The following is a 16492-nucleotide window of genomic DNA, read 5'->3' on the forward strand; positions in this document are numbered from 1 at the left end:
TAATAAAAAACAAACCACTAGCCACAGTGGCTCATACCTATAATCCCAGCACTTTGGGAGGCCAAAACAGGAGGATCGCTTGAACCCAGGAGTTTGAGATCAGCCGGGGCATGAGATCTCATCTCTACTAAAAATTAAACAGAAAAAAGTTATCTGGGAATGATGGCACATGCCTGTGCTCCTTGCTCCTGGCTCCTGGGGAGGCTGAGGTGGGAGGAACGTTTGAGCCTAGGAGGCTGAGGCTGCAGTAAGCTGTGACTGCACCACTGCACTCCAGCCTAAGCAACAGAGGGAGGCCCTGTTCCAAAAAAATAAAATAAAATTAACAAACAAACCAAAATAAAGAACAAAGAAGGAATTCAGAAAAATAAAAGCAGAAATTAATGAAAAAGCAAACCAAATAACAATTAGATATGAGCTGGTTCTTGAAAAGCCCATTGGGAGCTTTATTTATTATTTATTAACTGTCCTAACCACTAACAAATTTGATCTAGATAAAATTATTAGTATTACAAAGAGCTAAAATTCAGGCCTAAGTGCTAGACACTGCTAAGCACTTTATATATTTTTTCTCATTTAATTCTCATGTCAACCTGATAAAAAAAAACTATTGTCTTCTAAACACTTCCTATCACCCTTCCTTTTTTTTGTACTCAGCACTTTGCTCTAAAACATCAGATTTATAAAAATCTTGTTTAATGTTTGTGCCACAAGAATGTTAAGTTCCATGAAGGCAAAACATTTTTATGTTTTGTTCACTGTTGTATTTTTAATACCTAGAACAATGTCTGACACTAAGTAGGTCCTCAAAAAATTTTTTAGAAATGAGTGACATAATTCCTATTATACATATAGAAACTGTGATAAGAGCAGATAATAAGTGCATATTGAATTTATAGGAGAATATAACCACAGGTACACAGGAGAATATGAAAATAATAAGTAAACATAATATGCATATTTATGTCAATGAAACTGAAGTCTCAATAAAAGAAACAATTTTCTAGAAAAACATAAATTATCAAAATGATTCAAGAAAATGCAGAAAACTTGGATAATTTAGTATAAATTGAAAAAATAATAGAAACTTTATCCCCAAAAAAGCAGCAGAACCAAAAAATTTAAGAGGAAATTTCAAACTATTATTAGATAATTTTTATTATCTAAAAGGTTCATTTTTTGGTTCCACATAAACTTTAAAGTAGTTTTTTCCAATTCTGTGAAGAAAGCCAATGGTAGCTTGATGGGGATAGCACGAAATCTATAAATTACTTTGGACACTATGGCGATTTTCATGATATTGATTCTTCCTATCCATGAGCATGGAATGTTTTCCATTTGTGTCCTCTCTTATTTCCTTGTGCAGTGGTTTGTAGTTCTCCTTGAAGAGGTCCTTCACATCCCTGATAAGTTGCATTCCTAGGTATTTTATTCTCTTTGTAGCAACTGTGAATGGGAGTTCCCTCGATTTGGCTCTCTGTCTGTTATTGGTGTCTAGGAATGCTTGTGATTTTTGCACATTGATTTTGTATCCTGAGACTTTGCTGAAGTTGTTTTTCAGCTTAAGGAGATTTGGGACTGAGACAATAGGGTTTTCTAGATATACAATCATGTCATCTGCAAACAGAGACAATTTGACTTCCTCTCTTCCTATTTGAATACCCTTTATTTCTTTCTCTTGCCTGACTGCCCTGGCCAGAACTTCCAATACTATGTTGAATAGGAGTGGTGAGAGAGGGCATCCTTCTCTTCTGCCAGTTTTCAAAGGGAATGCTTCCAGCTTTTGCCCATTCAGTATGATATTCGCTGTTGGTGTGTCATAAATAGCTCTTATTATTTTGAGATACGTTTCATCAATACCTAGTTTATTGAGAGTTTTTAGCATGAAGTGGTATTGAATTTTATCAAAGGCTTTTTCTGCATCTATTGAGATAATCATGTGGTTTTTGTCTTTGGTTCTGTTTACGTGGTGGATTACATTTACTGATTTGCATATGTTGAACCAGCCTTGCATCCCAGAGATGAAGCTGACTTGATTGTGGTGGATAAGCTTTTTGATGTGCTGTTGGATTCAGTTTGCCAGTATTTTATTGAGGATTTTCACATCGCTGTTCATCAGGGATATTGGTCTGAAATTTTCTTTTTTTGTTGTGTCTCTGCCAGGTTTTGGTATCAGGATGATGCTGGCCTCATAAAATGAGTTAGGGAGGAGTCCCTCTTTCTATTGTTTGGAATAGTTTCAGAAGGAATGGTACCAGCTCCTCCTTGTACCTCTGGTAGAATTCGGCTGTGAATCGGTCTGGTCCTGGGCTTTTTTTGGTTGGTAGGATATTAATTACTGCCTCAATTTCAGAATTTGTTATTGGTGTAGTCAGGGATTCGACTTCTTCCTGGTTTAGTCTTGGGAGGGTGTATGTGTGCAGAAATTTATCTATTTCTTCTAGATTTTCTACTTTATTTGTGTAGAGGTGTTTATAGTATTCTCTGATGGTAGCTTGTATTTCTGTGGGATCAGTGCTGATATCCTCTTTACCATTTTTTATTGTGTCTATTTGATTCTTCTCTCTTTTTTCTTATTAGTCTGGCTAGTAGTCTATATATTTTGTTAATCTTTTCAAAAAACCAGCTCCTGGATTCATTGATTGTTTGAAGGGTTTTTCGTGTCCCTATCTCCTTGGGTTCTGCTCTGATCTTAGTTATTTCTTGTCTTCTGCTAGCTTTTGAATGTTTGCTCTTTTTTCTCTAGTTCTTTTAATTGGGATGTTAGGGTGTCGATTTTAGATCTTCCCCACTTTCTCCTATAGCCAAGACAATCCTAAGCAAAAAGAACAAAGCTGGAGGCATCATACTACCTGACTTCAAACTATACTACAAGGCTACAGTAACCAAAACAGCCTGGTACTGGTACCAAAACAGATATATAGACCAATGGAACAGAACAGAGGCCTCAGAAATAACACCACATATCTACAACCATCTGATCTTTGACAAATCTGATAGAAACAAGCAATGGGGAAAGGATTCCCTATTTAATAAACGATGTTGGGAAAACTGGCTAGCCATATGCAGAAAACTGAAACTAGACTCCTTCCTTACACCTTATACAAAAATTAATTCAAGATGGATTAAAGACTTAAATGTAAGACCTAAAACCATAAAAAACCTAGAAGAAAACCTAAGCAATACCATTCAGGATATAGGCATGGGCAAAGACTTCATGACTAAAACACCAAAAGCAATGGCAACAAAAGCCAAAATTGACAAATGGGATCTAATTAAACTAAAGAGCTTCTGCACAGCAAAAGAAACTATCATCAGAGTGAACAGGCAACCTAGAGAATGGGAGAAAGTTTTTGCAATCTTTCCATCTAACAAAGGGCTAATATCCAGAATTTACAGGGAACTTAAACTTACAAGAAAAGAACAACCCCATCAAAACGTGGGCAAAGGATATGAACAGACACTTTTCAAAAGAAGACATTTATGCAGCCAACATACCAGAGGTACAAGGAGGAGCTGGTACCATTCCTTCTGAAACTATTTCAATCAATAGAGAAAGAGGGAATCCTCCCTAACTCATTTTATGAGGCCAGCATCATCCTGATACCAAAGCCTGGCAGAGACACAACAAAAAAAGAGAATTTTAGACCAATATCTCTCATGAACATCGATGCAAAAATCCTCAATAAAATACTGGCAAACCAAATCCAGCAGCACATCAAAAAGCTTATCCACCATGATCAAGTGGGCTTCATCTCTGGGATACAAGGCTGGTTCAACATACGCAAATCAATAAATGTAATCCAGCATATAAACAGAACCAACGACAAAAACCATATGATTATCTCAATAGATGCAGAAAAGGCCTTTGACAAAATTCAACAATGCTTCATGCTAAAAACTCTCAATAAATTAGGTATTGATGGGATGTATCTCAAAATAATAAGAGCTATCTATGACAAACCCACAGCCAATATCATACTTAATGGGCAAAAACTGGAAGCATTCCCTTTGAAAAATGGCACAAGACAAGGATGCCCTCTCTCACCATTCCTATTCAACATAGTGTTGGAAGTTCTGGCCAGGACAATCAGGCAGGAGAAGGAAATAAAGGGTATTCAATTAGGAAAAGAGGAAGTCAAATTGTCCCTGTTTGCAGATGACATGATTGTATATCTAGAAAACCCCACTGTCTCAGCCTAAAATCTCCTTAAGCTGATAGGCAACTTCAGCAAAGTCTCAGGATACAAAATCAATGTGCAAAAATCACAAGCATTCTTATACACCAATAACAGACAGACAGCCAAATCGTTAGTGAACTCCCATTCACAATTGCTACAAAGAGAATAAAATACCTAGGAATCCAACTTACAAGGGATGTGAAGGAACTCTTCAAGGAGAACTACAAACCACTGCTCAATGAAATAAAAGAGGATACAACAAATGGAAGAACATTCCATGCTCACGGGTAGGAAGAATCAATATCGTGAAAATGGCCATACTGTCCAAGGTAATTTATAGATTCAATGCCATCCCCATCAAGCTACCAATGACTTTCTTCACAGAATTGGAAAAAACTACTTTAAAGTTCATATGGAGCCAAAAAAGAGCCCACATTGCCAAGTCAATCCTAAGCCAAAAGAACAAAGCTGGAGGCATCACGCTACCTGACTTCAAACTATACTACAAGGCTACAGTAACCAAAACAGCATGGTACTGGTCCCAAAATAGAGATATAGACCAATGGAACAGAACAGAGCCCTCAGAAATAATGCTGCATATCTACAACCATCTGATCTTTGACAAACCTGACAAAAACAAGAAATGCGGAAACGATTCCCTATTCAATAAATGGTGCTGGGAAAACTGGCTAGCCATATGTAGAAAGCTGAAACTGGATCCCTTCCTTACACCTTATATAAAAATTAATTCAAGATGGATTAAAGACTTAAATGTTAGACCTAAAACCATAAAAACCCTAGAAGAAAACCTAGGCAATACCATTCAGGACATAGGCATGGGCAAGGACTTCATGTCTAAAACACCAAAAGCAATGGCAACAAAAGCCAAAATTGACAAATGGGACCTAATTAAACAAAAGAGCTTCTGCACAGCAAAAGAAACTACCATCAGAGTGCACAGGCAACCTACGGAATGGGAGAAAATTGTTGCAATCTACTCATCTGACAAAGGGCTAATATCCAGAATCTACAATGAACTCAAACAAATTTACAAGAAAAAACAAACAACCCCATCAAAAAGTGGGCAAAGGAAATGAACAGACACTTCTCAAAAGAAGACATTTATGCAGCCAAAAGACACGTGAAAAAATGCTCATCATCACTGGCCATCAGAGAAATGCAAATCAAAACCACAATGAGATACCATCTCACACCAGTTAGAATGGCGGTCATTAAAAAGTCAGGAAACAACAGGTGCTGGAGAGGATGTGGAGAAATAGGAACACTTTTACACTGTTGGTGGGACTGTAAACTAGTTCAACCATTGTGGAAGACAGTGTGGCGATTCCTCAGTGATCTAGAACTAGAAATACCATTTGACCCAGCCATCCCATTACTGGGTATATACTCAAAGGATTATAAATCATGCTGCCATAAAGACACATGCACACATATGTTTACTGCGGCACTATTCACAATAGCAAAGACTTGGAACCAACCCAAATGTCCAACAATGATCAACTGGATTAAGAAAATGTGGCACATATACACTATGGAATACTATGCAGCCATAAAAAATGATGAGTTCAGGTCCTTTGTAGGGACATGGATGAAGCGGAAACCATCATTCTCAGCAAACTATCGCAAGGACAAAAAACCAAACACCGCATGTTCTCACTCATAGGTGGGAATTGAACGATGAGAACACATGGACACAGGAAGGGGAACATCACACACTGGGGCCTGTTGTGGGGTGGGTGGGGGGAGGGATAGCATTAGGAGATATACCTAATGTTAAATGATGAGCTAATGGGTTCAGCACACCAACATGGCACATGTATACATATGTAACTAACCTGCACGTTGTGCACATGTACCCTAAAACTTAAAGTATAATAAAAGAAAGAAAGAAAGAAAAAAGCTCATCATCACTGGTCTTTAGAGAAATGCAAATCATAACCATAATGAGATACCATTTCACGTCAGTGAGAATGGTGATCATTAAAAAAGTCAGGAAACAACAGATGCTGGAGAGGATGTGGAGAAATAGGAATGCTTTTACACCGTTGGTGGGAGTGCAAATTAGTTCAACCATTGTGGAATACAGTGTGGTGATTCCTCAAGGATCTAGAACTAGAAATACCATTTGACCCAGCAATCCATTACTGCGTATATATATACCCAAAGGATTATAAATCATTCTACTGTAAGGACACATGCACACTTATGTTTATTGCGACACTGTTCCCAATAGCAAAGACTTGGAACCAAGCCAAATGCCCATCAATGATAGACTGGATAAAGAAAATGTGGCACAGATACACCATGGAATACTATGCAGCCATAAAAAAGGATGAGTTCATGTCCTTTGCAGGGACATGGACGAAGCTGAAAACCATCATTCTCAGCAAAGTACCACAGGAACATAAAACCAAACACTCCATGTTCTCACTTATAAGTGGGAGTTGAACAATGAGAACACATGGACACAGGGAGGCGAACATCACACACCGGGGCCTGTTGGGGGGTTGGGAGCTAGGGGAGGGATAGCATTAGGAGAAATACCTAATGTAGATGATGGGTTGATAGGTGCAGCAAACCACCATGGCACATGTATACCTATGTAACAAACCTACACCTTCTGTACATGTATCTTAGAACTTAAAGTATAATAATAAAAAAAAGTTCATGATCATAATAAAAAAAGTTCATGATTTTTATTATTTTTTCAATAACAAAAAAAAAGTTCAAGAAGTTAAAAAAATTATTTTTTAAATGAGGCCAGCATAACCCTAACATCAGAAAAGACAAAGGAAGCACAAAAGAAGAAAAGCTACAGTCAAAGCTCCTAAATAAAAGTGCTGACAAATTGAATAATGCAGTACATTAAACCATGTGAGGTTGAATTTAAATGTGCAAGGATGGTTCAACATTCTAAAATTGATTATGTAATTACTTCATTAATAAATTTAAAGAGAAAAATACGATTATCTCAATAGGTACAGATTTAAATAGACACTTCACCAGAAACAATATATGAATGCCTAGTAAGCACATGAAAGATGCTCAACATCAGTAATCATTAGGAAAATGCAAATTAAAAATCACAATAAAATACCACTTCCTACAACAAGACACCACTTCCTAAGATACTAGTCCTAAGGACTAGAACTGTATAATTTAAAAGATAGGTAATATCAAGAGTTGTCGAAGATATGGAGAAACTGGAACCCTCACAAATTGCTGGTGGGAAGGTAACGATCATTTTGTAAAAGAGTTTGGCAATTTCATAAAAAATTAAACATAAACTTAACATATGATCCAACAATTTCACTCTTAGTAACTAATTCTAAAAATACTTCTAAATGAAACCACATACCCTCACAAAGACCTGTACATGAATATTCATAGCAGCATTATTCATAATAGCCATAAACTGGTAAAAATCCACATGTGCATCAGGGGTAAGTAGATAAACAAAATGTGGTATATCCACGCAATGGACAACTATTCAACAATATAGAAGAGCAGACTACAGATACATGCTACAACATGAACGTACCTCAAAAGCATTATTCTAAGTGAAAGCAAGCCAAATGTAAAAGACTACATGTTTTATGATTCCATTTATATGAAATGTGCAGAAAAGAAAAAAAAAGAGGCACATTTAGAGAGACAAGAAGGCAAATCTAGAGAGATTAGTGGCTACCTGGGACTGGGATAGGAATAAGATTGAGTATAAACGAGCTGAGGGAACTTTTTGGAGTAGATTTGTTTTGAAACTGGATTGTGGTGATGGTTGCACAACTCTGTGGATGTATGAAAAATCATTGTATTTTTATTGTAAAACAAAAATATATCCTACATTGTAAAGGATGCACAAATATCTTTTATGGTATTTAAATTAAACTTCAATAAAGCTGTTAAAACTCACATTTAGAAAAATAGGAAACTGCTGCTTTCTTTACAAAATATATCTAATCAGTACTCCATGAAAAACTGTTTGATGGCGATGAAACTGGATAAAAAAATGCAAAGAGGGCTGGGCATGGTGGCTCACGTCTGTAATCTCAACACTGGGAGGCCAAGGCAGGCAGATCACTTGAAGTCAGGAGTTTTAGATCAGCCCGGCCAACACGGCAAAAACCTGTCTCTACTAAAAATACAAAAATTAGCCAGGTGTGGTGGCAGGTGCCTGTAATCCCAGCTACTCTGGAGGCTGAGGCACGAGAATTGCTTCAACCCAGGAGGCGGAGGTTGCAGTGAGCCCAGACTGCGCCACTGCACTCCAGCTTGGGCGACAGAGCAAGACTCCGTTTCGAAAAAAAAAGCAAACAAGCAAAACATGCACATGATTTTAACATGAGTTAACAAAAGCAATAATTAAGTTTGGGGTATGATTACCTAAGAGATATAAACAACTTTAAGAAGAGCCCAGAGAAATAACAAAATTTTTTTAAATCTTTAAAGGTAGGAACTGTAAGTAAAATACTAAAACAAGTGAAATTGCTTGACCTAAGAAAAGCCTAAATCATGGGTCATTATGTCATGATGGCAAAAATTGTTCAAGCTGTAATCCATACTGGTTGTTCTACTTTTTTACACATAAAAGAATCAAGTCTGGTGCAGTGTCTCAAGCCTGTAATCCCAACACTTGGGAAAGGAGAGGCTGGAGGGATCACGTGAGCCCAGGAGTTTTGAGACCATCCCGGGCAAACAGTGAGACTGCTATCTCTTAAAAACAAAAAAAAATTAATTAGCCAGGTGTGGTGGCATACACCTGTGGTCCTAGCTACTTGAGAGGCTGAGGTGGGGGGATGGCTTGAGCCCAGGAGGTCAAGGCTGCAGTGAGCCAAGATCATGCCACTGCACTCCAGCCTGGGCAACAGAGGATGATCCTGTCTCAAAACAAAAATTAATTTTAAGTCTACTAACTTACCCATATAGATAGGAGTCCCACATGTGGCCTGCAGCATGGCTTCACTCCTACTTTGCTTCTTCACCGCTAAGCCAAAATCAGTCACCTGGGAGAAGAAATTCAAGCACAGTCACCTGTTTTCCTGTCCTAGAGCTCACTCATTCTGAAGATAAGACTTCACATTGAATTTGCATTGAATTCTGGGGTTCTTGGGGGTGGGAGGACTTTAATTGAATCATTAATAAAAATTTTGCATTTCCTTCCCCACCCACCTCTCTGTATAGAGGAGAAACTGGGTAAAGAGAAGCTTGCGTTCTCAAATCTTGAGAGAATACCATGATTTAACCATTCTTGCCATCTGATTAAATTCACCAGTCTAACATGAGAAGTTGTATTTTGAGGCATTTAATCTTTTTCATATAAAAAAGGTATTTTTGTTTTTAAAAAAAGTTCTTTCCTTGTAAAATATATTCTGGCTTTAACATATTATCTATGTTTCTGATAATCAAGTTATATTCCAGTTTAAAGCACTGTTATAAATGCAAATAATTATCCCTGTCAGCACTCACTGAAACTCTCCTTTTTTATAATTATTTATAATTGGTAAACAGTATCTTTTCTTTACTATTGTTTCCTTTGTGTTTCTAGAGTATACTAATTAAAACAATTACTACACTATTAAAAACTACAACAAGCATATTAACAGGAAAAAAACCACAACAACAAGTATTAACTACAAATACACTGGTGGCCTAGTGCCGCAACTGTAGGCCTTCTGCTCAGTTCTAAATCTTGGTCATTAAACATTTAGTTATTAAATATTCAGTATGTGGCTTTGGAATTATCTCCCAAAGTGGAACACCCTTAGACTGAAGGCAGAAAAACAGACACATTTATTGATTAAGTAACCAAATATAGGCTCTTTGTCCAGAGACAATGAATGCAAAGTTTCCAGTGCCTTATGGAGTAAGAAAATGCTCCTATTTACATGTGATATCACCATTTTTCTAAACAGATGAATCAATTTCTCCATTAGTTTTCACAAACATCTCACTTGGAGCATATGATACCTATCTTTCTTTACAGAAAATCCATTCAGACACATGAAACATACAAAAAGTTTCACAATCCAACTTAGTTCTTTGGAGAGCATCTATTCCTTCATTCATCAAATGTTAAGTGAACACATACTATGTTCCAGGCACTACTTCAGGTACTAAGTGAATAAGACATGCACAATTCTTGCCTTCATAGAGTTTACAATGGAACTGTTCCAGAACATTTACTTGGGTAAACCAACAATGCTGTTAAACCTATTTCTATTACATAGGACTTAGCTTCTGCAACAGAGTGAGTTACTCACAGACAACATTTTATTTCTAAATTAACACATTTATATATTTTGAAAGCAGCCACTATAATGGTGCTAAATAATGTATCGTAGCATTTATTTGACATTAGGGAACACTTAATTTGAATAAAATCTTCAAGAATAAACACTTGGCACATTAATTGTACTTAGGACATAAATATTAATACACAGGAAAATTTTCAATAAGAAATACAGACTTTAGAATTAATTTAGTATCAAAAGCACACGCAAGGTGTGCTTTTCTCTAAATCTGTAACACATTTACATCAAATTACCAGACATAATTTTGAAATTAATTAGAATTCAGAGCATCTGTTTGCTTGCTATTAACTAATGATTTAGAATTATTCAAATGAATATGTACTTTAAAAACACATTCAATAGCTCCACTTAACTTGCAAAATTATTCTTGTCAGTTACAACCTCTTGTGAAATTTTTATTTTTTAGCACAAGCCACTTATTTTCTGGCTGCTCAAAAGCTAGCAACATGTGTCTAAAAAGAGGATGTACTTTGCCACTTTGCTATCAAACTGTTTACAGGCAAATATTTACCACCATTGCTAATCTTACCTTTATGTTTAAGTTTATTTCATTGTTATCATCAATAAGACTGCTTTTAACCATTATATTTTCCAGTTTCAGATCTCTATGTACAATATCTACCAAGAAAATAAACAACAAATCAAATGAAATGAATAATGGAAAAATAGGAGAGACACATATAGATTAAATATATTTGACAAATTAATATCCGCTGTTGAAAAATTTGAGGGCCAAGCATAGTCTGTCCTGTTCTATTCTCTCATTTATAAATGCTTCCTCCACATTTCTAACCTTAAGGAGCCATTTTCTTTGACTCCCTCACCTCTACCCATTTCCCTGTGACCCCAGCTGGCTGCTCCTCATGATGAGTGGCCTGGGGAGTGTGAAGGAGGATCCTACCCATGCTTAGGTATTCCCAGGAGGAGGGAGATCATCTTAGTCACAAACCCAGCCAGGTTTCCCATATCCTTCGGTCTTCAAATACAGGATTACTTCTTTACTTCTATGCATATGTTACTGTCAGCATAAACATTTTAACACACTGTAACTTGGCTACATATATACAAACTATACTTATTTCAGTATATTTTTCTACAACATCAACACACATTTTCCTACTCTTTATGTAGTAAAATAAAAAACAAACAAACAAAAACCCTTGAGACACAAAATCTCCAGTTGAACATGTCAGAGCTCAGGTACAATTTTTATGTACATACAAATAACCATGTACCAAACACTTCCTTTGCAAATAATTAATTCAGTTCATATCCATTGCAAACATTTCCCTAGACTTAAAAAGTTATACACGGCCAGGCGCAGTGGCTTGCGCCTATAATCCCAGCACTGTGGGAGGCTGAGGCGGGCGGATCATGAGGTCAGGAGATCAAGACCATCCTGGCTAACACGTTGAAACCCCATCTCTACTAAAAATACAAAAAAAAATCAGCCAGGCATGGTGGCGGGTGCCTATAGTCCCAGCTACTCGGGAGGCTGCGGCAGGAGAATGGCGTGAGGCTGGGAGGCGGAGCTTGCAGTGAGCCGAGATCGTGTCACTGCACTCCAGCCTGGGTAACAGAGAGAGACTCTGTCTCAAAAAAAAAAAAAAAAAAAAAAAAAAGTTACACACATAATTGCTAGAGGAATGCATTGAATGAGTCCTGCACTGGCAATTATACCTAATCATTTATAGCTCCCTTACACAATCCCCAGGCTTTGTTTTTGGAATTTTTATTGTTTCCATTGCTCTTCTTGTCTCTTTTTACATAAATACCACACAGCTTTAACAAACATATCATTATGCTTTTATCCTTGCCAGGGCAGATCTCCCTGCTGCCTCCATTGTTCTTCTTTTTCATTGTTGGCTATTTTTACCCATTTGAGAATAATCTTATCAAGTTCCATGAAAAATGTTGCTAAGATTTTGTTTGGAATTATACTGAATTTATAGCTTAATAGGGAAGGACTGACAATAGCATAATATTAAGCCCTTGAAAAAATCGTTTCCCTCTGCCTAGAAAGCCTGCCTTTTTAATTTTTTTCTGAGTTTGTATTCCTCAGATCAAATATTGCTCCTTCAGTGAATTCTTTCCTGACTTTCCAAGCCAAATGAGGTAACTTAAACTCCTGTAATCCTTGTGCTTTATATGGCTTTCCACTGGGGAGATTATCATGTTGAATTACAACTTGTTTTCAATAATCAATCTCCCACCAGCCCAAGTTCCTTGGAGAGCAGGGGCCTTGTCTTTTAATCTTTGTAATCTAGGACCAATCTCAATGCAGTAGGTGCTCGGGAACTATCAGCTGGATGAACCACTGGGTTCCAGTACCAGCTCTAGCACACCAAACCATGTCACTGCACCTCTCTGGAACAAAGTTTTTGTTCATCTGTAAAGTGAGAAGGTTCTAAAGTCACATGTAAGCCAAACTAACCTCGAAGGAAAAAAACGGGGGGAGGAGCAGCAGCAGTAACACCTAAGAATAGTAAGGCAATTAGAATAATTTTTAAATGTAGTTTTTAAAGTACTGTGAAACCACTCTGTATGATACTATAATGGTGGATAAATGACATTACACATTTGTCAAAACCCCAAGAGTGAATCCTAATATAAGCTATGGACTTAGGGTGACAATGATATGTCAATGCAATATATCAATCTAGTGGGGGATTTTGACAGTGGGGCAGGTTGTGCATAAGTGCGAGCAGGGGAGTATATAGAAAATCTCTCTACCTTTGGCTCAGTTTTGCTGTGAATCTAAAACTGCTCTAAAATAAAGTCTACAAAGACAAAAAAATGCCTAGAACATACAGATTCTAATGTTATGATTAATAGATGTTTTGGGAAACTTCACCTTTACCATTGATTTGTCTACTTTTGATTTTATAACATTAGCTTCTCTTCAAACTGTTGAATAAAAAATGTTCATAATTTCATCTTCGTTCATATTTCTAATTAAAACATATCTAAAAAGAAAGTTAAAAAGGAAACATTTTTAACTAAAAATTAAATCTTCTATATTAGCAGGTGTTATTTATATGACTATGAATCTGGAATACAATTACCCTTAAACAAAAGTGACATTAGTATTCATGGGGTCAATGAGCTGGATAACCCTCTTCTTACCATTATTGTGAAGATATGCTATAGCTGATGCGAGACTTTGAATGATCCACCTTGTCTCATTCTCTGAGAAATGCCCTTTCCTATCCAGAATTTCTTTGAGTTCTCCATCCTCACAAAGCTCCATCACAAGGTACATTTTCTGACATTATATATATAAAAGAGAGAGAGAGCAAATTATATATCTGGGGATCTTTAAAATGTTATATATCACATATACAATCACAGTCATAATCATTAATTTATTCATTCAAAAGTATTATCTATTATGTACAAGATACCATACTGGATACTAGAGAAACAAAAAGGTAAAGACATAGTATTTATCCCCAAGAAGCTCACAAATAGTTATCATTACAGTATCATGTGATAAGTGCTAATGGCCCCAAATGCCATAGAGTTACAGAAGAGGGGCAGCCTCTGTCTAAAGAATGCCCCTTGAGAAGAAATATTAAGACCAGGTCTAGATGTCTGAATAGGGATTTATAGATAGAGAATGTGGGAAAGAATAGGCAGAGCACATGGTATTTACAAAGACTCCAAAGCTTGAAACAGCACTGTCTGTTAAAAGAATAATCTCAGTGTTAATAACATGGAGAACTTGGTAGGGTGGAGAACAATGAAGTGGTGAGGAGTGAGGCTAGAAAGAACAGGTTGGGGCCAGGTTGTAAAGAGTTCTGGATATCATGATAAGGAGTATGGATTTTTTTTCCCATATGCAATAAGGAGCCACTGAAGATTTTTAAGCTAGTGCCGGGGTTGCGGGGTGCACGTGTATGATATTACCAATTGTGCATTTCTAAATGAACATTCTAGCAGTAATGTAGAACAGGGCTCAACAAACCTTTGCTATAGAGATCAGACCCAATAGCAAATATTATTGGCTTTGAAGGCCATGGAGTCTCTTTCACAACTACTCAGTGCTGTTGCTGTAGCAGGAGAAAGCAGCCATAAACAACACAACAAAACTTTACTTCTAGACTTGAAAATTTCAGGTTTATAGAATTTTTACATGACATGAAATATTACTCTTTTACATTTTTGCAACCATTTGGAAATGCAGAAACTTAGCTTATGGGCCATTAAAAAAAAAAAAAAACAGGTAGCAGGCCCAATGTGGCTCTCAAACTGTAGTATGCTGACTTTTGTTTCTAGAGGGTAGATGTGAGGCATAGAATCGAGACAAGAAGGAGGGAAATGAAAAGATTTAAAAATACCAACAAGAAAGAAACAGTGGGACTTAGTGACTAATTGGGTGTGAGTGGTAAGAAGTCATAGCTGAAATGCCTCTTCCATATTTGCTGTTCATGTGGGGCCATATTAAGATCACTTTAGGTATTCCAACAGCCAAGTCATCTATTGAGTCAAAAAAGATTCACAGTCAACTAAAAAGCAAGTCTTTTTCATACATATTTCTATTCAAACACAGGGTACCCTTTATGTCTCCTTTATAACCTATGCTGCTAGATTTTTGTTGTTTTTAAGATCTTGAAGTCTGATTTTGTTCTTATAAGCACTGTTAGTGCAATTCTGTGTTCAATCAGTAAGTATGAAAACAGGAAGCGAAGGTTAACATCCTTTCTTCCTATAGCGCAATTCAGATTCACTGAATCTCAGGCAGTTTTAGAATTTCAAAAGTAACTGCAAAATCTAACACATAAATAAGCTTTTGAACTGGACCATATTTTTTCCATTGACAGGACTGTACAGTTCACTGGTACATAAAATGATAAGTGAACTATTTGGAAGGAAAGGTTGGATTAGCAGTACTTGAAATATAAATTGGTCAATTTTAAATATATAAGTTGGTCAAAGTTATATAAGTTATAACTGTGTTATAATTATTAGAAACAACTGTGTAGACCTGGAGAACACTTAGACTCACAAGAAACCATAGCATAGTCAGACTGGATGATCAGTACCATGGCACAACCAATCAGGTGGCAATTTCTATTAATACTTAAGATAGCTTCAATAGAAAGTCTACATGCTTGTGTGTATTTATGAGGCAGAGGGTGTCAGACCTGATCTACATGAATTAAGGGAAAGCAATACATTGGAAAAATCACAGATGATGGTTTCCTCTGCCTTCAAACTTACTCTAGATTTAGACTCCTGCTTGTACCCATAATGGAGTAACAAAGACCAGACTTATCTTCCTACCTGAAACAACTTAAGAACTGGGCAAAATATATAAAACAATAATTTTTAGACATTAAACATCAGCCAGCATAGGGTAGTTATTCCTGAGAGAGAGGAAATACATGAGGCATTCCCCACGATTATTCTAGCTTGCTGTCTAGGGAGTTTCTAGACCACAGAAGAGGGAGAGGGAATCCAAGCAGAGCCTAGCAGTCTCCATGAGTAGAGGGCATGGAGTTGGAAGCCCAGGAAGGTCAAGACAACTAAAGTTCACAGGACGGAGCATCAAAGAGGAGAATGCTGTAGAGAGAGAAATCTCCAGAGATTTGCAGAGGATCCCCTCAATTCTTCAGGAGAGCATGAATCAACACATGTGTATGAGGAAACTACCCAAAGCTGGGGGGGAAATATGCAAAAAGGGCAGAGGGAACAATCACTGGAGCTTACACACAGCCAGGAACAGCTGTGTTCCCATGAGCTGGAGGTAAACCTCGTAATTCATGGAGCACTGGGGAGAGCCCCTCAGTAACAGGAAAAAATTAGTCCTAAAGGTTGCTTTGGTGCCACCTAATGAAGCTTAAAGCAAGCTTCAAAAAGTATCAAACTTTCCAAGTGACTTACCTATATCCTAGAATAAAGCTTAAGAATAATCATTAGAATATTAAAATATCTAGCATCCAACAAGGTAAAATTCACAACATCTGGCATCTGGCC

At 37.0% G+C, this 16492-nt stretch overlaps 1 protein-coding gene across 57 annotated transcripts in view; it reads right to left on the bottom strand.

The window, feature by feature from the left end:
* The window catches only part of STK33 (serine/threonine kinase 33), a 259405-nt gene that overhangs the window by 108878 nt on the left and 134035 nt on the right, over positions 1-16492 (bottom strand). For all 57 annotated transcript variants that reach the window (XR_007062494.1, XR_001747939.2, XM_047427469.1 and 54 more), the window contains 3 exons: positions 13640-13778; positions 11043-11131; positions 9121-9205 (listed from right to left, as the gene is read on the bottom strand). Coding sequence is in view for 55 of the 57 variants with exons in the window: in XM_047427469.1 (XP_047283425.1) it covers positions 9121-9205; positions 11043-11131; positions 13640-13778 (313 nt within the window). In the remaining 2 variants the exon portion in view is untranslated. The remainder of the gene's footprint in view (positions 1-9120; positions 9206-11042; positions 11132-13639; positions 13779-16492) is intronic.

Source organism: Homo sapiens, chromosome 11 (genome assembly GCF_000001405.40).
Source record: "Homo sapiens chromosome 11, GRCh38.p14 Primary Assembly".
Taxonomy (NCBI): Eukaryota; Metazoa; Chordata; class Mammalia; order Primates; family Hominidae; genus Homo; species Homo sapiens.